Source organism: Homo sapiens, chromosome 7 (genome assembly GCF_000001405.40).
Source record: "Homo sapiens chromosome 7, GRCh38.p14 Primary Assembly".
Lineage (NCBI taxonomy): Eukaryota > Metazoa > Chordata > Mammalia > Primates > Hominidae > Homo > Homo sapiens.
Genome location: NC_000007.14, coordinates 98297756 through 98318720, shown reverse-complemented (window position 1 = coordinate 98318720; position 20965 = coordinate 98297756). Strand labels below are relative to the sequence as shown.

Below are 20965 nucleotides of genomic sequence, written 5' to 3'. Positions count from 1 at the left end.
CACCTGCCTCGGCCTCCTAAAGTGCTGGGATTAGAGGCGTGAGCCACCATGCCGGCCAGACATCCTTCTTATCTGCACTTCACAGATTATAGGGAAAACAAGGATTTGAATTCTGACGCGGGTCCGTTTAAGACCCTGTGTTCACTGGGCGTGGTGGCTCACGCCTGTAATCCCAGCACTTTGGGAGGCCAAGGCGGGTGGATCCAAGGTCAGGAGTTCGAGACCAGCCTGGCTGACATGGTGAAACCTGGTCTCTACTAAAAATACAGCCGGGCGTGGTTGTGTGCGCCTGTAATCCCAGCTACTGGAGAGGCTGAGGCACAAGAATCACTTGAACCCGGGAGGCAGAGAGTGCAGTGGCGCGATCTCAGCTTGCTGCAACCACCTTGGTGGCTAAGTGCTTTGGATGGAACTTTGAGACTTTGGGTGGCAGAAGAAAGTTAACCACCCAGCATCAAAAAGCCTTTGAGGAAAGAAGGAATAAAAGAAAGAGAAGATGTCCTTAGAGACTTGGCTTCTGGTCGGGGGCTCCTCATTTAAACAGTAACCTTTAGAACAAAGCCAAGACATTAAAGTTGCATGAAGGGGGCAATGTGAACTGAGGGGTGAGGGCTCTAACCAGTGTGTGGATGGTGTGAACTGCGGGTTGAGGGTCCCAGCCAGCATGCAGATGGTGTGAGTTGCAGAGTAAGGGTCCCAGCCATCATGCAGATGGTGTGAGCTGCGGGGTGAGGGTCCCAGCCAGCGTAAGGATGGTGTGAAATGAGTGAGGGCCCCGGCCAGTGTGAGGATGATGTGAACTGTGGGGTGAGGGTCCCAGCCAGCATGCAGATGGTGTGAACTGCAGAGTGAGGGTCCCAGCCATCATGCAGATGGTGTGAACTACGGGGTGACAGTCCCAGCCAGCGTAAAGATGGTGTGAAATGAGCGAGGGCCCCGGCCAGTGTGAGGATGATGTGAACTGTGTGGTGAGCGTCCCCAGCCAACATGCAGATGGTGTGAACTGCGGGGTGATGGTCCCAGCCAGTGTAAGGATGGTGTGAAATGAGTGAGGGTCCCAGCCAGTGTGTGGATGGTGTGAACTGCAGGGTGAGGGTCCCAGCCAGCATGCAGACGGTGTGAACTGAGGGATGAGGGCCCTGGTCAGCATGAGGATGGTGCGAAGTGTGGGCATGGGACCCCGGCCAGCAGGAGGATGGTGTGAACTGGTGTGGGTGTGGGGGCCCCAGCCAGTGTGAGGATGGTGTGAAGTGAGGGTGTCAGGGCCCCGTTGAGCCACACACAGTGGAAGTGTGAGTAAAGGCAAACTGTGTGACAATTCGTGTGGTGCCACAGTAAAATAAGCACAGCCATTTAACTTACAGGCAACTCTAAAAAGATACCAAACAGAACACAAGAATAAATTAGAGTCTTTGGAGAAATCCCAAGCTGAGTTGAAGAAGATCAGAAGGAAAAGCCAAGGAAGCCGAAACGCACTCAAATATGAACACAAAGAAATTGAGGTGAGCTTTTCAACAATATCTTGTTTTCTTTTGTTGTTGACAATTTGCACAGTTTAAGAGGAGGTTAGCCGGGTGCGGTGGCTCACGCCTGTAATCCCAGCACTTTGGGAGGCCGAGGCAGTAGGATCATATGAGGTCAGGAGTTCGAGACCAGCCTGGCCAATGTGGTGAAACCTTGCCTCTACAAAAACTAGCTGGGGTGATGGCAGGTACCTGTAGTCACAGCTACTCGGAGGCTGAGGCAGGAGAATTGCTTGAACTTGGGAGGCAGAGGTTGCAGTGAGCCGAGATTATGCCACTGCACTCCAGCCTGGGTGACAGAATGAGACTCCATCTCAAAAAAAAAAAAAAGTTTTGAAGTTGATCTCATGGAAGTGGGGAGTAGAATGATGGTTACCTGTCATTCTCTAGATAGCTGAGGATGGTCATTGTGTTGACTGGGGAGTGGATGAAGGAGAGGTTGGTTAATGGGTCCAAACATACAATTGGATAAAAGAAATAAGTTCTAGTGTCCAATAGCAGAGTAGGGTGACTATAGTTAACAGCGATGCATTATTTCAAAATAGTTAGAAGAGAGGTCTTGGAATGTCCCCAACACATAGAAACAATAAGAATTTGAGGTGATGGCCACCCAAGGACCCTGCTTTGATCATTATCACATGTGCCCTATAAATATATAATCTATCAGTTTTTAAAAATAAGCATTTTGACTGAGAGCTGAAGGCTGTAGAGTTTCCCTGAGTTAAGTATAATTAATCAGTGACCTCCTGCCAAAACATGGGCTTTTTATCCTGGCTCTGAAAGAAGAAGGGACTCTCCATGATCAGTGTTACTATTCCCATTGTACAGATGGGGAAAATGAGGCTTAGGTTAAATCATATTTTATTACTCCATTTTCATGCTGCTGGTAAAGACATACCCCGAGACTGGGCAATTTACAAAAGAAAGAGATTTAATGGACTCACAGTTCCACATGGCCGGGGAGGCCTCACAATCATGGTGGAAGGGAAGGAGGAGCAAGTCACGTCTTACATGGATGGCAGCAGGCAAAGGAGAGCTTGTGCAGGGAAACTCCCTTTATGAAGCCATCAGATCTTGTGAGACTTATTCACTATCACAAGAATGGCATGGGAAAGACCTGCCCCCATGATTCAATTACCTCCCACCAGGTCCCTCCCCAAACACATAGGAATTACGGGAGCTACAATTCAAGATGAGATTTGGGTGGGGACACAGCCAAAGCATATCACCTATTGTTGGCATTTGGAACTGGGTTTGAACCTGGAACTTTCTGGTTCCAAAGCCCGTGGTGCTTTCCAGTAGGACACGATCATATCTCTGAAGTACAAAGTAATATTTGTGCAAATTGCCCCGTGGGAATGTCAAGCCCTTGGGCAACTTCTCTCTGCACACGAGTCAGGGACCTCAAGGAGAACGATGGTATCTACTTAGGTCAGGTTACAGCATTCTTTCCTCTCATGTATTTACTCTATTATTCAAATAAAGCAGGTGTAAAGATGGCAGAAGATAAACGTCAGGCTGCACGCTATCTGATGCTCATGTCATGCTTATATAATTATTATTATTATTATTTTTTTTTTTTTAGTATGTGGAGACCGTTACTTCTCGTCAGAGTGAAATCCAGAAATTCATTGCAGATGGTTGCAAAGAGGCTCTGCTTGAAGAGAAGAGGCGCTTCTGCTTTCTGGTTGATAAGCACTGTGGCTTTGCAAACCACATACATTATTATCACTTACAGGTGGGTGTGGTGGCAAATTGCCTTGAGCGTATTAATAACTTTATTTCATATTTAAATGCCCCAGAAGGCTGGGCCGTGGCCCACGCCTGTAATCCCAGCACTTTGGGAGGCTGAGGTGGGCCTGGGCAACATGGCAAAACTCTGTCTCTATAAAAAATAATAAAAAAAAAACTAGCCAGGCATGGTAGCATGTGCCTGTAGTCCCAGCTACTCAGGAGGCTGAGGTGGGAGGATCCCTTCAGCCTGGGAAGTTGAGGCTGCAGTGAGCCATGATTGTGCCACTGCACTCCAACCTGAGCAACAGAGCGGGACCCTGTCTCAATCAGTCCATACGTACAGAGATATACACACATGCACGCCACTCACCTTCCACACATGCCCAATATAAAGCAGTGGGCCATTTTGCCAATGAAAAGATTCCAGAGAAACTGTGTTTGGCCAACTTGAACATATAAACTTATAGAAATACAGCTGAAATGGTCAAACGTCCATGTATAATGTTTAATAAATTAATAATACATCCATATTTAAAGTCCTTCATAAAATAATGCTTCATCATTGAAAAATAGCACATGTTTGCTCTTCTCACCTGCGAGTCAGCTTTCCCCAGGCCCTTTCTGATGTGTCCTCAGCATCAGTGTCTTCACCATGGCTGCTGGTGAGTCCCAGCGGGCCCAGGTCTACCCCACCTGGGCGATTTGAGATGCTCCCTTCATGGGTCCGTGTCCGGGGGTCACGGGCAGCTCTGCCCCAGCCCACGGGCCCCCATTCACGCGCATCAGGACAGCTGGGCTCAGTGATGCGTTCATTCCTCTTGGTGGTATTGGTTCCTGGTTTATTCAACTGAATGACCTCATCACCCTCCTTCCAACACACACAGCTGTGAGGTTCGAACCCCCAGGAATCATGATGCAACACATGTCACATTTCCTTTCCTTTGTTTTAAATTATGAACTCTGTTGGGCCTTTGTAAACATCCAAAACTAGCACTGGTTGAGGTCAGAAATTCATTGTTGTTCATAGTAAAGTTAGAGAGTGTTCCAATATAGGAGAAGCTTTGCAAGAGCTTGAATATAAGTCAGCTTTGTCTTTGTTTTAAAGGAAAAATACTTTGGCCTTGTATGTATGCAAATGTTGTATTTTCTATAAACTTTTTACAACTTTAAGGAATATTCAGGACTGCGCATGGTGGCTCACGCCTGTAATCCCAGCACTTTGGGAGACCAAAGTGGGTGAATCACTTGAGGTCAGGAGTTTGAGACCAGCCTGGCCAACATGGTGAAACCCTGTCTCTACTAAAAATACAAAAATTAATCACATGTGGTGAGCACCTGTAATCCCAGCTACTCAGGAGGCTGAGGCAGGAGAATTGTTTGAACCCAGGAGGCTGAGGTTGCAGTGAGCCCAGATCACACCACTGCACTTCAGCCTGGGCAACAGAGCAAGACTCTGTCTCAAAAAAAAAAAAAAAAAAAAAGGAAGAAAAAGGAGTATTCAGCTCCCTAAATAAGATTTAAAATTAGTACAGCAGGCCAGGCACAGTGGCTCATGCCTATAATCCCAGCCCTTTGGGAGCCCAAGGCAGGAGGATCACTTGAGCCCAGGAGTTCCAGACCAGCCTGGGCAGCATAGCGAGACCCTATCTCTACCAAAAAAAAAAAAAAAAAGTTTTAATTAGCCAGTTGTGGTGATGTGCATCTGTGGCCCCAGCTACTCAGGAGGCTGAGGTGGAAGGATTGTTTGAGCCCAGGAGTTCGAGGTTGCAGTGAGCTGTGATTGTGCCAGTGCACTCCAGCCTGGGTGACAGAGCCAAAATCCTCTCTCAAAAAAGCAGAAGAAAATGGTTACAGCAAAGGAAATAGTTGCTGTATTAGGTGATCACTTTTGTCAACAGCATGTCTGTACTAGTTTCGGGAATGTAGAGTTCACTTTAGAATCTTCTCTTCCCAGAGTGAGGGCATCCTGTGGCACCAGGGTCGCAGGCTGGAGAGGACAGAGGTGACCTTGAGGTTCTCTTCCTGCGTGATATCCCCACCGTGTCATGAGGCAGCCTAGCACCTTTTCAGGGAGCTCCAGTTATCAGCAGAGTCTTTCTTAGACTTAACCATCGGTCCCAGTAATGCTTTCTAGAGTGACGCAGACCAAATCTGCTCGTTTCTATGCTGGAAGTTTCTTCGAGTATCTGAAAACTGGTTTTGTGGCTTCCCTTAATTCAGCTAAAGCGCCTCAGTCCTTTCTGTGGAGTTGGGATGAAGCAGGCCCAAGCAGCTGGTCCACGGTGCTGCAGAGTGTCAGGGTGACAGTTGGGGGTGGGGTGACAGTTGGGGGTGGGGTGGCATTTGGGGACAGGGGTGGTGTGAGGGGGTCTTTGCCCTTCCCCAGGACTGACATCAGCCCCCCACCACTCTTGATAAACTCAGAGGCTGAGTAAAAGCAGTGTGACTGCCATGCACACAGCCGCAGGACAGGCTCCTGCCTCCCCTTTCCCAACCAGAGTGCTCTTCAGAAAAGGTGCTCACTGGAAGCGCTTGGGGGGCCTCTGAGAATCCAGTTGTCAGGAGCAGAGCCAGGCTTGTGGGTGCTGGAGGGGCACTCTGCCTCCAGGGTTGCGGGTTCTCACCCCTGCTGGTCAGGTCTGCTCTGCAAAACCTTGTTTGGCCTGTGGTGGGGGCGTCCCTCAGCACTGCCCACCACTCACCCAGTCCCTCTTCCCCATAGACAGACTCTCAGGACAGTGTCTGATTCACTTCTCTAATGTCTGAATCGGTCAGAGTCAACTACGGGGCCCGTGGCCTGTGTTGGAGGTGCTGCTTTTAGTAGGAGTGGGAGGGAGAAAGTGATGGTTGGCGTTTCTGGGGCCACCTGGAAAACGGGATTCATACAGATTGCTCCCTCCCTCCCTTTGAGTTTCTGTTCTTGCTCTTAACCATTTACCATCCCCGTATTAGTCCCATGCTCTGTATTCACACTGAGGGATCAGGAAATTTCCTTTTGAGTCAGAGCCTTTGCCCCTCTCAGCCGGTGAGACACAGCTGATCCTCTAGGTGCTTAAAGTGCTCACCGAGTTTAACCCAGGGCCCCCACACTCCTGGTGCTAAGCCAGTAATCTGTTATCAGCGATATGACGTGATGTCATTTTTCTCAGCTCTTCAGACAATCTTCTTTGTCTTTAGTCTTCTTCTTTTGGCTTTGCAGTCTGCAGAACTACTGAATTCCAAGCTGCCTCGGTGGCAGGAGACCTGTGTTGATGCCATCAAAGTGCCAGAGAAAATCATGAATATGATCGAAGAAATAAAGACCCCAGCCTCTACCCCCGTGTCTGGAACTCCTCAGGCTTCACCCATGATCGAGAGAAGCAATGTGGTAGGAGCCAGTTTTCTCTTCCAGATTTCAATCGTGTGTTTCCTAACTTGATCTGGGCCAAATTTGCCTGTGTTGGTGGGAATCACAGGTCCCCCTTTATTACTTCCAGGACCACCTTTTCGCACCTCTATCCCCTTACCTTTAGGGGCGAAGGTAGCTGGGCACATGTTTGTTTTTTGTTGTTGTTAAGGTGGAGTCTTTCTTGCTCTGTCGCCCAGGCTGGAGTACAGTGGAGTGATCTCGGCTCACTGCAACCTCCACCTCCCGGGTTCAAGTGATTCTCCTGCCTCAGCCTCCTCAGTAGCTGGGATTACTGGGGCGCACCACCATGCCTGGCTAATTTTTGTATTATTAGTAGAGACAGGGTTTTGCCATGTTGGTCAGGCTGGTCTCAAACTCCTGACCTCGTGATCTGTCTGCCTCGGCCTCCCAAAGTGCTGGGATTACAGGCATGAGCCACCATAAGTTGGGCACATGTTTTATACTATGTTTGGCGCTATTATCTTTGTTTTGGAAATTTTATCCTTACTGTTTTTTTTTTATTTTTTTTGTTTTTGAGACACAGTCTTGCTCTGTCACTCAGGCTGGAGTGCAATGGCGCAATCTCGGCTCACTGTAGGCTCCGTCTCCTGGGTTCACGCCATTCTGCCTCAGCCTTCCAAGTAGCTGGGACTACAGGCGCCCGCCACCATGCCTGGCTAATTTTTTTGTATTTTTAGTGGAAACCGGGTTTCACCATGTTAGCCAGGATGGTCACGATCTCCTGACCTCGTGATCCGCCCACCTCGGCCTCCCAAAGTGCTGGGGTTACAGGCGTGAGCCACTGCACCCAACCATACTTACTGTTTTTATTTGTAATCATTCCAACTAAGTTTACTCCCAAGTAAGGAAGTATAGGTGTCTCAGAATAAATTAGACACACTCTGATGGCATTCATCACAACGTAAGGCACTTCAGGAAAAAAAATAGGCATCAAAGTATTCACAGTAATGAATTCACACATTTGTAGTTTGCTGATCTTTGAACCTGGGCTCTGTGGAGATTGGGATGCAGCAGGTACTTTGAACACATGGATCCACTCTTTCTGCCCATCTCAAACCCCCTGAAATGTGGCCAGTCATGGTGGCTCACACCTGTAATCCCAGCACTTTGGGAGGCCTAGGCGGGCAGATCACTTGAGGTCAGAAGTTTGAGACCAGCCTGGCTAACATGGTGAAACCTCATCTCTACTAAAAATACAAAAAATAGCCAGATGTGGTAGTGCGTGCCTGTTATCCAGCTACTCAAGAGGCTGAGGCACAAGAATCACTTGAAACTGGGAGGCGGAGGTTGCAGTGAGCTGAGATCGTGCCACTGTACTCCAGCCTGGGCAACACAGCGAGACTCTGTCTCAAAATAAATAAATAAATAGCCTATTATTTAAAAAAAAAAAACAGCCTTGGGAATCTGTGTAATTCCGGTTCTGCACTATACTAATATTGGACTAATAAAGAATTTTTCACAGGTTAGGAAAGATTACGACACCCTTTCTAAATGCTCACCAAAGATGCCCCCCGCTCCTTCAGGCAGAGCATATACCAGTCCCTTGATCGATATGTTTAATAACCCAGCCACGGCTGCCCCGAATTCACAAAGGGTAAATAATTCAACAGGTAAGAGATTCAGTCTGATTTATTTGAAGATACCTTTTACATTTGTTTTAAGATAAGCTGTGAAATAAATATTTTGTATAAATGTATTGCAAGGTTTGGAGGTAAACAAGCAGGTATGGTAGATACATTCAGCCCTGGCTTTGCAGAGCGTGAGTTCAGAAGAAATACAGGACTAGACTGTGAGACGCTCTGATAAGTGATACATTTCTCTGACATTTACCAGTTCTACGCACTGACTGATGTTTATCCAGAGTAAACATACTGTTGAGAATTATCTATTTACAAATAAATGGAGGCCAGGCGCGGTGGCTCACGCCTGTAATCCCAGCCCTTTGGGAGGCCGAGGCAGGTGGATCACCTGAGGTCAGTTGTTTGAGACCAGCCTGGCCAACATGATGAAACCCCATCGCTACTAAAAATACAAAAAATTAGCCAGGCGTGGTGGTGCCTGCCTGTAATCCCAGCTACTCGGGAGGCTGAGGCAGGAGAATCACTTGAACCCAGGAGGCGGAGGTTGCAATGAGCTGAGGTCGCACCACTGCACTCCAGCCTGGGTGACACAGTGACAAAAACAAAAGTTGGAGCCAGTGACTGTCTGCAGATGTTGCCGGCTGCTTCACTGGTCAGACCCCGTCCTTCTGCACAGTCTTTAGCACCCAGGACCCTCGAGACCTGTGCCATGGCCCCAACCCATCCACGTGGGGTGTCTCACAGGCCCCCATGGTGTGAAGGTTGCGGCAGTCAAGCTGTTTGTGAGAGAGAGCCCTGGACCACAGCGTGTGAAGCTATTGGGCAAAAGAACAGAGTTTTCCAGAATGATGACTAGGATGGCCCAGTAGAGGAAGATGATGGTCTGCAGGCATTTGCCTTTGAAGGAAGTCCTGTCAGTTAACTAAAATACACAGTTAAAGTATGTAATACTCTGTGCATCCCAGTGATTCAGATGACTCTGGTTCTTATTGGTAAAAGCAGAATGAAAATTGCTGGTGGAGGATTGGGCGCGGTGACTCATGCCTGTAATCCCAGCACTTTGGGAGGCCAAGGTAGGTGGATCTCGATGTCAGGAGTTCGAGACCAGCCTGGCCAATATGGTGAAACCCTGTCTCTACTAAAAATACAAAAATTAGCCGAGCATGGTGGCACGCGCCTGTAATTCCAGCTGTTCAGGAGGCTGAGGCAAGAGAATTGCTTGAACCCAGCCAGGAGGTAGAGGTTGCAGTGAGCCGAGATCACACCACTGCACTCCAGCCTGGGCGACAGAGCGAGACTCTGTCTCAAAAAAGAAAGAAAACTGCTGGTGGGTTCAACACCAGCGAAGTAGAGAGTGGCAGGTTAAGGGGGCGCAGGTTTATGTTGTAATCATGAAGAATCTGCAAGAATAAAGCAGAAAGAGATCTTGCATTGTTTTAAATTAAAGATGCTTGTTGTATTACTAGCCTGGGAAAATTTGAATGGAAAAAAAAAACGGCCAGAAGCAGTGGCTCAAACCTGTAATCCCAGCACTTTGGGAGGCCAAGCTGGGAGGATCACTTGAGGCCAGGAGGTCAAGACCAGGCTGGGCAACATAGCGAGACACTGTCTCTACAAAAAAATTTAAAAATGAACCTGGCATGGCGGCGTGTGCCTGTAGTCCCAGCTACTTAGGAGGCTGAGGAGGGAGGATCCTTTAAGCCTGGGAAGTCCAGACTACAGTGAGCTGTGATCCTGCCACTGCACTCCAGCCTGGGCAACAGAGTGAGACTCTGTCTCAAATGTATATACATACATATATATATATTTTTTTCTACCTTTTTTCCCCTGGAGTGGAAATATCAGCCTGTGTTTGAATGGAGACATGAACAGCACAGCCTCGTGCTCATGGGTAGAGAGTATGGGACAAACCTGCCCTAGCTGGTTCCTGGCCCAGCCACTTGCCAGCTGTGGGGTCTGTCCTGTGGATAATAAATAGCAGCACCTTCCTCCTGGGAGCCTGGCGGGATGGCAGCTGTGAGACATTGAGATCGTGACTGGCACCTGGTGAGGACTCTGTAAATGGAACTCATCCTCACCTTGTCCTTCTTAGGCCTGGGGGTGAGAAGCTGAGCGGCCAGCATGGCAAGACCAACTGCATTTCCAGCTTTCTTCTTTTCTTTGTGGACATTGGCAGTTGGGTTTGAACTGTGGCCCTAGCCTGCCTTTGCGATTGGAATTGCGAGGGCAGTTTGGCGTTGGAGCGGTTTGTCTCTCTAAGAAGAGCCATCCTGGCTAAAGCAGTGCAGATCAACCCGGCACACACCGCCTTGTCCTTGGGCCTGGAAAAGAGCCCGCAGCCGCAGGGATCCTCTTCTGCACGGTGCATGCCTTCAGGCTGCACGCTGCCTCTGTTTCTCAACAGTCCCTGTTCCTTCTGGGCAATGATCAAAGCGAGGAAATAGGACAGGGTCAGTTTCCGTGGAAGGAGCATTGTTGGCAAGATGAGAACAGGTGGATTCCTGGGGTTTGCTCATTGGAATGTGCCTATTGATTCTCATGCTTTGAAAAGCCATTACTGCTACACTCCCTCCAACAGGTACTTCCGAAGATCCCAGTTTACAGCGATCAGTTTCGGTTGCAACGGGACTGAACATGATGAAGAAGCAGAAAGTGAAGACCATCTTCCCGCACACTGCGGGCTCCAACAAGACCTTACTCAGCTTTGCACAGGGAGATGTCATCACGCTGCTCATCCCCGAGGAGAAGGATGGCTGGCTCTATGGAGAACACGACGTGTCCAAGGCGTAAGTCTGGGCGTGATGGTCCCCGCAGGGCACCAGACGGCCCCTCCCTTCCAGAGCAGCCAAGCTGCAAACTGTCTTCGTGGACATGCTCACATTTTAGCCAAAGTTAAGTTTATGGTTTAGTTCTAGTTTAGTTAACTGAAGTTATTCGATCCCAGGCTATTTTCTGTATGTCTGTGCATGTAGAGATACATTTGGTGCATGCATAGTTATTAGAGCGTATGAAGTCACCTGTCTGAAAGTAGTTTAAACATTCTTTTGTTTTTAAAAAAAATTTAGCATTTGGCCAGTGCAGTGGCTCATGCTTGTAATCCCAGCACTTTGGGAGGCTAAGGCGGGCAGATCACCTGAGGTTAGGAGTTCCAGACCAGCCTGGCCAACATGGTGAAACCCCATCTCTACGAAAAATACAAAAATTAGCCAGGCGTGGTGGCAGGCGCCTGTAATCCCAGCTACTCGGGAGGCTGAGGCAGGATTGAACCTGGGAGGCGCAGGTTGCAGTGAGCCGAGATCTCGCCATTGCACTCCAGCCTTGGGTGACAGAGCAAGACTCTGTCTCAAAAAAATAAATAAAATTAGCATTTGATTTATTGAAGATAATCTGCATATCAGATATACTTTGTTAAGGTTTAGCACGTAGGTAGTTTGAATGCAATCCTCTTAATTTCAGCCATAATTATGTGCACAAGCCTTCCTGTAACTAGCTTGTCAGTTTTCTAGACAGATTGTTCAGATGTATTAAATAAAACCAATATGGAAAAAAAAAGGGGTAATCCAAATCAAATTAATGTTATACATACAACATATATTGCTTTTTAGCTAGGCATGGTGGTGCACACTTCTAGTCACAGCTACTCGGATGCTGAGGCAGGGGGATTGCTTGAGCCCATGAGTTCGAGGCTGCTGTGAGCTATGATCGCACCACTGCACTCCAGCCTGGGCAACAGAGCGAGACCCTGTCTCTATTAAAAAAAAATTGTTAACAATACACATTGTTCAGTGTATGTGAAAGTCCATATTTACCTATTAAAAGCCTTAATTTCATTTCCTCCACACATGGGCGTTTCTGGAGCAGTGGACCTGTCTGCCCTGAGCTCTCACCAGGTTGTTCAGGGAGGTTGCCGTCCACATGTCTACTGCTGATAGGGTCTTTTCTCCCTCTTTGCCGGTAGGAGGGGTTGGTTCCCGTCGTCGTACACGAAGTTGCTGGAAGAAAATGAGACAGAAGCAGTGACCGTGCCCACGCCAAGGTAGCCCTGAACGTGGCTGAGCTCTCCCGGTGACAGAAACCCCTGCCTTGTCGTTTCTGTAACACACCACCATCTAGCTGTGTCGCAGGCCCTGCCCTAAGCCTCAGCTCTCGTGGACTAGTCAGAGATGAGACCGCGGCTCACAGTGCTGTCTGCCGTGATTTCTGTTGTCCCCGAGCTTTGCTGCTGTGAGGAGACCCAGCCCAGGCCACCTACTCCTCGCAGTCCTGCAGCCCTCTGAAACTCCCTCCCTGTGCCCTGCCCCTCCTGGTCGCTAAACCCAAGCCATGTGTTTTCCGTCCTTATCTTACACTTATCTTACCGTTCTTATCTTACAGCCCTTAACGCTGTTGTATGCTTTTTCTGGAATGTTCTCTGGCCCCGGCTGCTTGACCTGTGCTCTGTTTGTCTTCTGCCTCACCAGCTCTTTGCACCCCTCTTCTGCCCATCAATTAAACATCAGTGTTCTTGGGAGTCACCCTGGGTCCATCCTTCCTGCCTGTGCTGGGCCATCTCATCCACTCCCATGGCTTGAAATACACTGATGGGCTTTGCTGAGCACCTCCATGCCGAAAACCCCCAAATCCGTATTCCAGATCAGATACTAACAGTAGTTATTGCCTAGAGACTGTCCAAAGGACTTTGCATTGATTTTTTCACTTAATTCTCACAGCAGACCCATGAGGTGGGCCCCCACTTTAAAAAATGAGGAAACTGGCCGGGCACGGTGGCTTGTGCCTGTAATCCCAGCACTTTGGGAGATGGAGGCAGGAGGATTACTTGAGGCCACAAGTTCAGGACCAGCCTGCGCAACATAGCAAGATCCCCATCTCTACAAAAAAAATAAACAATTAGCCAGGGCATAGTGGCATATGCCCATTGTCCCATCTACTCTGGAGGCTGAGGCGGGAGGATCGAAGTTCACAGAACCCCCATAACCCATCCAGCTAGCCAGGTAGAAGGCCTCCAGGTCCGACGTTGCATTCCCCAGGGTCTGATGCTGTCTGCAATCTTCATCCCTAGCAGAAGAGCTAAAATGCCATTGTGCTGGGGAACAAAAACTGAGTAACACTTTTAGGATGTTAAAATTTCAAGTGTTTACATTTTTTTTTTTTTTAACTCTTAGCTCATTGCTCACTCCAGCTTTTGCTAGTCTCCAATTTCTTTCCTTAGATTAAATCAATCAAGAGCCAGCCCCTAATTTAAAAGGTTTCCTCTCCTTTTGTCATGTCTTTTAAATAATTTTTTGGCCAGGCGCAGGGGCTCATGCCTGTAATCCCAGCACTTTGGGAGGCCGAGGCGGGCAGATCACCTGAGATCAAGAGTTCAAGACTAGCCTGGCCAACATAATGAAACCCCGTCTCTACTAAAAAAAAAAAAAAAAAAAAAAACAAAAAACAAAAAAATTAGCTGGGCGTGGTGGCAGGCGCCTGTAATCCCGGCTACTTGGGAGGCTGAGGCAGGAGAATCACTTGAACCAGGGAGGCGGATGTTGCAGTGAGCCAAGATCGCGCCACTGCACTCCACCCTGGACAATAAGAGGGAAACCCCATCTCAAAAAAAAAAAAAAAAATTTCTTGTGAGGATATGTTTAGAAACCACTAAAAACATTAGTGTTTTAGGCCGGGTGTGGTGGCTCATGCTGTAATCCCAGCTGAGGTCAGGAGTTCAAGACCAGCCTGGCCAATATGGTGAAACCCCATCTCAACTAAAAATACAAAAAATTAGCTGGGCACACTGGCGTGCACCTGTAATCCCAGCTACTCAGGAGGCTGAAGCAGAAGAATCACTTAAACCTAGAAGGCAGAGGTTGCAGTGAGCTGACATCATGTCATTGCACTCCAGCCTGGGTGACAGAGTGAGACTCTGTCGCAAAAAAATTTAAAAAATACAGTGTTTTGTATTGATATATGTACTGTGTGTGTCTGTGTGTGTGAGATCAAGATCAGGTTTTGATTGGTGATGTACTATTACTGTTGTCCTTGGTCAGGGACACAGAGGATGTTTGGGGTTTGGTGGTGAGACATTATCTAACACGTGCTGTGTCCTTTTTGGGTTTGAGCCCCACACCAGTGAGAAGCATCAGCACCGTGAACTTGTCTGAGAATAGCAGTGTTGTCATCCCCCCACCCGACTACTTGGAATGCTTGTCCATGGGGGCAGCTGCCGACAGGAGAGCAGATTCGGCCAGGACGACATCCACCTTTAAGGCCCCAGCGTCCAAGCCCGAGACCGCGGCTCCTGTGAGTAAAGCCGCAGCAGGGCGTCCTGGGTCCTGGACTCGCCATCCCCGACTGGGAGGCGCAGGTCCTGTGGTGACCGCCTTGCTCTGCTCTGTCCCCAGGGGGAGAGTGGTGTCCCCGGGGAGGAGGGAGGAGGGGACTTGCTGCCTTTGATCCTCTAGATTCCCTTCTTTGTCATGCAGCCTTTCACCTCCTTGACTTCAGCCCTTCTTTCATGTGGACTCTATCTTGTCAGTGAGAGTTTACACACAGTCGCCTCTAGTTTGCTAGATTTTATTAGGTTTCTTATCTTTCCTGCCTGGCTGCAGTCTTCTAGCCATTGAATCACCATTTTCTTTCATTTTCTTATTTTCTGAAGAGAGGCTTACATTAAAAGTGGTAACTTCATCTTTCTTCAGAAAGTCTTTACTCCCAGGCACTGTGGATGTTATCTTTAACCCTAAACCTTCTAGGCACGGCGTTTAGGGTTAACGATAACCCTGAAAGATAACCCTAACGTGCCTCTGGGGGCCCAGCATGGAGGTCCTGGGCTCCCGGAACCAGTTCATCCATTCCCGCCACCGCACAGAGGCCCTGGTGTGGGCTCTCCAGCTAGAGGAGAACAAGGCCGGACTCTGCCTGCCTCTTCAGAACTTCTGTTCTAGTGATAGGAAGCAGACAATAAAAAATAAACAAAAACACTGACACTAGAAGCCATGCAGAGAATAACACAAGGTGAGGTGATGGCGTGGTGGGGAGCAGCGCGGCTGGACATCACTCCCGGGCTGGGTTGGCTGAGGTTAGTGCGCCCTGGTGTGAGACCTGTGGGTGAAGGGGAGGAGGCTGGGTGGTGGTGTCTGCACCCCTCGCTCCAGGAGCTGTCTTGCTTTGGGGCGAAGGAGCCAGGCCCCTATACCTTGTGTCCGGGGCCTTAGTTCAGCTGTGAGTGGTGCCCAGGTGTGGAGTGTCTTGATGATATGAAACGGATGTGCTTCTAAGATGTGCCTGCCCCAGACCTACGCGTGAGCCTTGAGGAGTCTGGGAACGTAGACCTGCCTCATTGTAGACTGCATTGGCATGATTTGGTTTAGGAATGCTAGCTTTTGAAACTTCATTCAAAATGTCTTTGAAGCCAGGTGCAATGGCTCATGTCTGTGTAATTCCAACACTTTGGGAGGCCAAGGCAGGAGGATCACTTGAGCCCAGGAGTTTTAGACCAAACTGGCAACATAGCAAAACCCTATGTAGACAAAAAATATAAAAAATTAGCCAGGTACGGTGGCACATGTCTGTAGTCCCAGCTGTTCAGGAGGCTGTGGTGGGAGGATAGCCTGAACCCAGAAGTTCGAGGCTGCTGTGAACTGTGATCATACCACTGCATGCCAGCCTGGATGACAGAGACCCTGTCTCATAAAAAAAGAAAAATGGTTTACAGTGTAGTTGTTTGAATCTGGATCCAAATCAGCTCCATACATTATAATTGGTGGATAGGGCTCGTGAGGCCTTTTCTAGCTACAGGTCCCCCCTCTGCCTCTTGTCCTTAGCAGTCTCTTTGTAGAAGAACCAGTCATTTGTCCTGGAGGGTGTCCCCCATCTGGATTTTGCTGTTGGTGTCCTTTCTGCGTTCCCCCGTGTCTCCTGTATTTCTGTAAATTGGTAGTTAGACCTCAGGCCCTGCTCAGAGTCTGTTGCTGTTTTGCTTGTTTGACTGTTGTGTTTTGCTGGAGCATTTCACCAGTGAGGAGGCACGTGTGGACGTCCATCTCTTTTTGTGATGTTAGTAGCTGTTGATGTTCGCCTAGCCTGCTGCTTTATTGAGGTTGGATAATGCCTTTTAAGGTAAAAGAATCTTGCCCCCAAAAATCACAGCTCTGGCATTGTAAGTGAGAGCACTGACACTTTGGCCAACCCTGGATAGTCTTCAGTGTTAGAAAATGAAAACGTGTCATTGTCAGCGTATTTATCGTGTGGATAAAGCTTGGTGAAGAAAGTACTGTCGCCGCCATTCTTACTGCAGGGAATTGGATAAATGGAAGAAGCCTGGTTGTAAGTATCAGTGTACTCAGTAATGACAGATTCCTCCTTACTTAGCACTGGGGAGTGGAAAGGTGACCTGGCTTCATTCTTAAACCTCTTCGTTGGCTGGATCATGACATTCTGTCAGTGTCGGGAGACTGCCAGCGCACGGTGCACGCCTCTTACCGGCTTCCCACTTCCTCGGGCAGCAGAGCTTTAAGCACACCACTGTCCCCGAGGGCCCTGACCTGGAGGGTTGGGCTGAGCTGGGGCTGCCTGCAGGGGGTGACCTGGTGCCCTGCAGCCTCCACCAGCGCAGCTGGCCCATGTGGACACCACCACCACCCTTCCCACCTGAGCTGGTATTCTCAGCTCACACCCGCGAGCTTCAGGCTGTCCCCTCCACGGGAGAGATTCCCAGTCATCCAGTCCCCGGCTGCCTCCACAGGCCGCACCTGCCAAAGCTCACTTCCCCAAGACCACCCTCCCTCTAACCCCCACCACACACACAGACGCGCGTGTGCACACACACACACACCATCATCTTCAGGTTCCCCCTTTCTGTCTTGAAAGCTAGAAGGCTTGGCCGGGCACGGTGGCTCACGCCTGTAATCCCAGCACTTTGGGAGTCCGAAGTGGGCGGATCACGAGGTCAGGAGATCAAAACCATCCTGGCTAACACGGTGAAATCCCGTCTCCACTTAAAATATATATATATATATATACCAAAAAAAAAAAGCTAGAAGGCTTTCAGGCTTTCATTTTAGCAGCCTTTCATTTCTGGTTTCATCCAAGAACATTCAAAAGCCCCAGATACCTCATGAGAATGCCCTCCTTATGCGGATTCTAATCATTTCAGTTGTCATTGATTCTGCACGTGTTTGAGTGCTGACTGCTGATTAACTTCATGATCACTGAAATCGATGAGAAGGCCCATCCAGCACAGGGGTGGAGGTGACGCCCACAGGGAGGTCATGTTTATCACTGATGGCAGCTGAGATTTCCTGGGCCGCAGACCTCTGAGGCCAGCAGACTTCTGTCAACACAGTCACATGGCAGTGAGGGTATGGCTGTGGGGGAGGGGTTTTGTGGACAGAGATGAGACCGTCCCATCAGCATTCATCCAGCCGGCCTCTACTGGGCGGCCTAGAGCCAAGCCCTCAGGACACAAAGAGGAATGAGACCCACGCAGGGGTGGAGTCCAGGGAGCGCTCGATGCATGGGGTGAGGACAAGGGGAGAGGCCAGGGTTCCTGGGACGCATCAGGGGAGGCTTCTAGGAGGAAAGCGTCGGAGCCAGGCTCTGAGGCACGAGCTTCGGCAAAAACACAAGGCCTGGGCGTTGCGGTGACTTGGGGGGCTCAAGAGCTGGGGTCGGGCACCAGCCAGAGAGGCAGGATGAGCCTCCACACTGCTGCCTGGCTTCTGGCTGGCCTGCGAGGGGAGTGGTGCCGCCAGCCTGTGGTGCCCTCCTGTCTTTCGTACCTTCACACCCTTCGCACCTCACGGTGGTGCTTCCTGAGCAGTGCCTGTGCTGGGACCTCCTGGGGAGGTAGAGGGATAGCGGGGCCTCGTGAAATGGAGAAAGGGAGGCACAGAAGAATGGCAGCCGCTGTCCAAGGCCCACGGCAGGTTAGAAACCCAGTTCTGAAATCTCAGCCAGCAGCTTCTTGGCCTCCACATCAGTACGCTTTCCTGATAAGACATGGCGCGGTCATCTGCATGCTGTTATTCTAACATCCTATGCAGACTGCAAAAGCATTGCGGGGAGGGACTGCAACTGTCACCCGCATCCAGCCTCTGTAGACAGCACTCCTGTTAGACAAGTGACCACGTTTCATCCAGACCAATCCCAGTCAGGAGTTCCGGGAGCGCAGCTGTGGGAAACAGCCTACAGACGCATTGGTGCTGCTCCAAGGGCGGGAGCAGGGAGCAGGGGGAATGGCTGTGTGTTCTGGGCCTCCTGGCCTCACAGCCTCCTCACCAGCAGGGATCATGGATCAAGCATGTGTGTGTCAGAGACGAGCAGCACAGATGGAAATGTTCCCTGCCCAGTCCAGCAGCCACAGGGCACACAGGGCAGCAGAGCACTTGAAAAACGGATGGTGCAACGAAGGAACTAGACGTTTACATTTGTTTGTTTGTTTATTTATTTATTTATGAGACGGAGTCTTGCTCTGTCGCCCAGGCTGGAGTGCAGTGGCATGATCTTGGTTCACAGCAACCTCCACTTCCCGGGCTCAAGCAATTCTCCCGCCTCAGCCTCCTAAGTAGCTGGGACTACAGGTGCATGCCACCACACCCAGCTAATTTTTGTATTTTTAGTAGATACGGGGTTTCACCATGTTGGCCAGGCTGGTCTCGAACTCCTGATCTCAGGTGATCCTCCCGCCTCAGCCTCCCAAAGTGCTGGGAATATAGGCGTGAGTCACTGCGCCCGGCAAATTTTATTTTAAGTAGCCATATACAGCTAGTGGTTGCCACATTGGACAGTTAGGAATAGATCATACAAAATAGTACAGTGTTCCATTTAAAAACTTGCTCTAGCTGGGCACGGTGGCTCACACCTGTGATCCCTGCTACTTGGAAGGCCAAGGTGGTAGAATCACTTGAGCCCAGGAACTCAAGTCCAGCCTGAGCGACAGAGAAAGGACCCATCTCTCTCTATATATAAAAATAAGCTTGATCCATAACGTGGTGGTCAAGAAGCAGGTACCATGGCTGAGGCTCAAAAGATGGCAGCCTGCCGGGCACGGTGGCTCACACCTGTAATCCCAGCACTTTGGGAGGCCGAGGCGGGAGGATCATTTGAGCCTAGGAGTTCCAGATCAGCCTGGGCAATATAGTGGGACCTCGTCTATATAGAAAATTAACTAAAAAACCAGTCAGGCGTGGTGGCTCACACCTGTAATCCCAGCACCTTGGGAGGCCGAGGCAGGTGGATCACCTGATGTCAAGAGTTTGAGACCAGCCTGGCCAACATGGTGAAACCCTGTCTCTACTAAAAATACAAAAAAAATTAGCTGGGCATGGTGGCAGGCGCCTGTAATCCCAGCTACTCGGGAGGCTGAGGCAGGAGAATCAGTTGAACCCGGGAGGCAGAGGTTGCAGTGAGCCAAGATCACGCCACTGCACTCCAGCCTGGGCAACAAGAGGAAAACTCCATCTCAAAAAAAACACCAAAAAACAGAAAATTAAAAAGTCAGGCATGGTGGCATATACCTGTAGTCTACTCAGGAGCCTGAGGTGAGAGGATCGATTGAGCCCAGGAGGTCGAGGCTGCAGTGAGCTGTCATTGTGCCACTGCACTGCAGCCTGGGTGACAGAGCAAGACCTGTCTCAAAAACAATGGCAGCCTTTGCCACCTGAAAGCCCCGGGGGCCTCTGGCACCCTTGAGGGCTGGGGACACAGTCCTGGAATTATGTGTCTCAGCCTTTTTATGTCCACCTCGATTAATAACTTAGCTTTCCCTAACCAAAATGCCTAAACCAGCTGATGATGTTGGGGAAAGCTGTGTTATATCCCAGGCCAAACACTGGGATCCATGAGAGCTGGGAAAGCATCCTCATGTTTTTTTTGTTTTGTTTTGAGACAGAGTCTTGCTCTGTCACCCAGGCTGGAGTGCAGTGGCACCATCTCGGCTCACTGCAAACTCCACCTCCTGGGTTCACGCCATTCTCCTGCCTCAGCCTCCCGAGTAGCTGGGACTACAGGCGCCCGCCACTACGCCTGGCTAAGTTTTTTGTATTTTTATTAGAGATGGGGTTTCACCGTGTTAGCCAGGATGATCTCGATCTCCTGACCTTGTGATCCGTCTGCCTCGGCCTCCCAAAGTGCTGGGATTACAGGCGTGAGCCACCGCACCCAGCCCCTAATGTTTTTTAAAAGCATTTTTATACATGGTTTTATATCCAGCTCCTGTGAGTTACAGGTCGTGTGACACTGGAATGCTTAACCTTAGGTGTCCATAGAGCATCCCACTCACCTGGGAAGCCCCACAGCTGTCCTGTGACGGCGCGTCTTATTAGACGATCTGAGAGCAGGGGCTTCTCCCAAGGGGGCAGGGGAGACTTGCCAGGACTCAAGCTAGGGGTTTGCCACAGGTCACGTGATATCTCTTTAAGTTTTTATTAACAATGATAAGATCCTGTTATGTTGCCCAGGCTGGTCTTGAACTCCTGACCTCAGGCAGTCCTCCTGCCTTGGCCTCCCAAGGTGCTGGGATTACAGGCGTGAGCCACTGTGCCCGGCCTGAATTTTTTTAATTTACGTATTTTCTACTGCAGTTCCAAGTGAGGAAGTATTGGCTCCCTCCCAACATTTTAAATAAGCACACAGCTCTCCTTTGTAAAAGCAAGCCTGCATTTCACAGCGCGCCCTCACGTGGCGTGAGCCCCTCCTGAGAGCCGCCAGTGCCCCCGGTGCAGGCCTGCACGCATCTTCGT

The 20965-nt window shown here is 49.6% G+C and overlaps 2 protein-coding genes across 12 annotated transcripts in view, besides 4 other annotated features; one reads left to right on the top strand and one right to left on the bottom strand.

Annotated features, from left to right (window-relative positions):
- BRI3 (brain protein I3) overlaps positions 1–20965 on the bottom strand; it is a 41745-nt gene that overhangs the window by 4710 nt on the left and 16070 nt on the right. For 2 of the 11 annotated variants that reach the window (XR_007059997.1, XR_007060000.1), the window contains exons 3-5: positions 12134–12238; positions 10325–11206; positions 8278–9646 (exon numbers count right to left, since the gene is read on the bottom strand). Coding sequence is in view for 6 of the 11 variants with exons in the window: in XM_017011933.3 (XP_016867422.1) it covers positions 12074–12238 (165 nt within the window). In the remaining 5 variants the exon portion in view is untranslated. Of the gene's footprint in view, positions 1–8277; positions 12239–20965 lie in introns of those variants that run through there. The other 9 variants (XR_007059998.1, XM_017011932.3, XR_007059999.1 and 6 more) reach the window with 6 other exon arrangements.
- BAIAP2L1 (BAR/IMD domain containing adaptor protein 2 like 1) overlaps positions 1–20965 on the top strand; it is a 109441-nt gene that overhangs the window by 82370 nt on the left and 6106 nt on the right. The window contains exons 6-12 of the mRNA NM_018842.5: positions 1365–1502; positions 3109–3261; positions 6457–6624; positions 8129–8276; positions 10825–11032; positions 12205–12282; positions 14345–14525. Coding sequence (NP_061330.2) covers positions 1365–1502; positions 3109–3261; positions 6457–6624; positions 8129–8276; positions 10825–11032; positions 12205–12282; positions 14345–14525 — 1074 coding nt within the window. The remainder of the gene's footprint in view (positions 1–1364; positions 1503–3108; positions 3262–6456; positions 6625–8128; positions 8277–10824; positions 11033–12204; positions 12283–14344; positions 14526–20965) is intronic.
- Positions 608–1108: an enhancer, noted in NCBI's record as "H3K4me1 hESC enhancer chr7:97946925-97947425 (GRCh37/hg19 assembly coordinates)". NCBI's record gives its function as "activates a minimal SCP1, AML or CMV promoter by ChIP-STARR-seq in naive H9 embryonic stem cells {active_cell/tissue: H9 hESC(naive)}" and the evidence as "EXISTENCE:reporter gene assay evidence [ECO:0000049][PMID:30033119]".
- Positions 5716–5863: a silencer, noted in NCBI's record as "fragment chr7:97942170-97942317 (GRCh37/hg19 assembly coordinates)". NCBI's record gives its function as "represses an EF-1alpha promoter that drives an FKBP-Casp9 reporter gene in an ReSE screen in K562 erythroleukemia cells {active_cell/tissue: K562}" and the evidence as "EXISTENCE:reporter gene assay evidence [ECO:0000049][PMID:32094911]".
- Positions 11876–12376: an enhancer, noted in NCBI's record as "H3K4me1 hESC enhancer chr7:97935657-97936157 (GRCh37/hg19 assembly coordinates)". NCBI's record gives its function as "activates a minimal SCP1, AML or CMV promoter by ChIP-STARR-seq in primed H9 embryonic stem cells {active_cell/tissue: H9 hESC(primed)}" and the evidence as "EXISTENCE:reporter gene assay evidence [ECO:0000049][PMID:30033119]".
- Positions 12377–12877: an enhancer, noted in NCBI's record as "H3K4me1 hESC enhancer chr7:97935156-97935656 (GRCh37/hg19 assembly coordinates)". NCBI's record gives its function as "activates a minimal SCP1, AML or CMV promoter by ChIP-STARR-seq in primed H9 embryonic stem cells {active_cell/tissue: H9 hESC(primed)}" and the evidence as "EXISTENCE:reporter gene assay evidence [ECO:0000049][PMID:30033119]".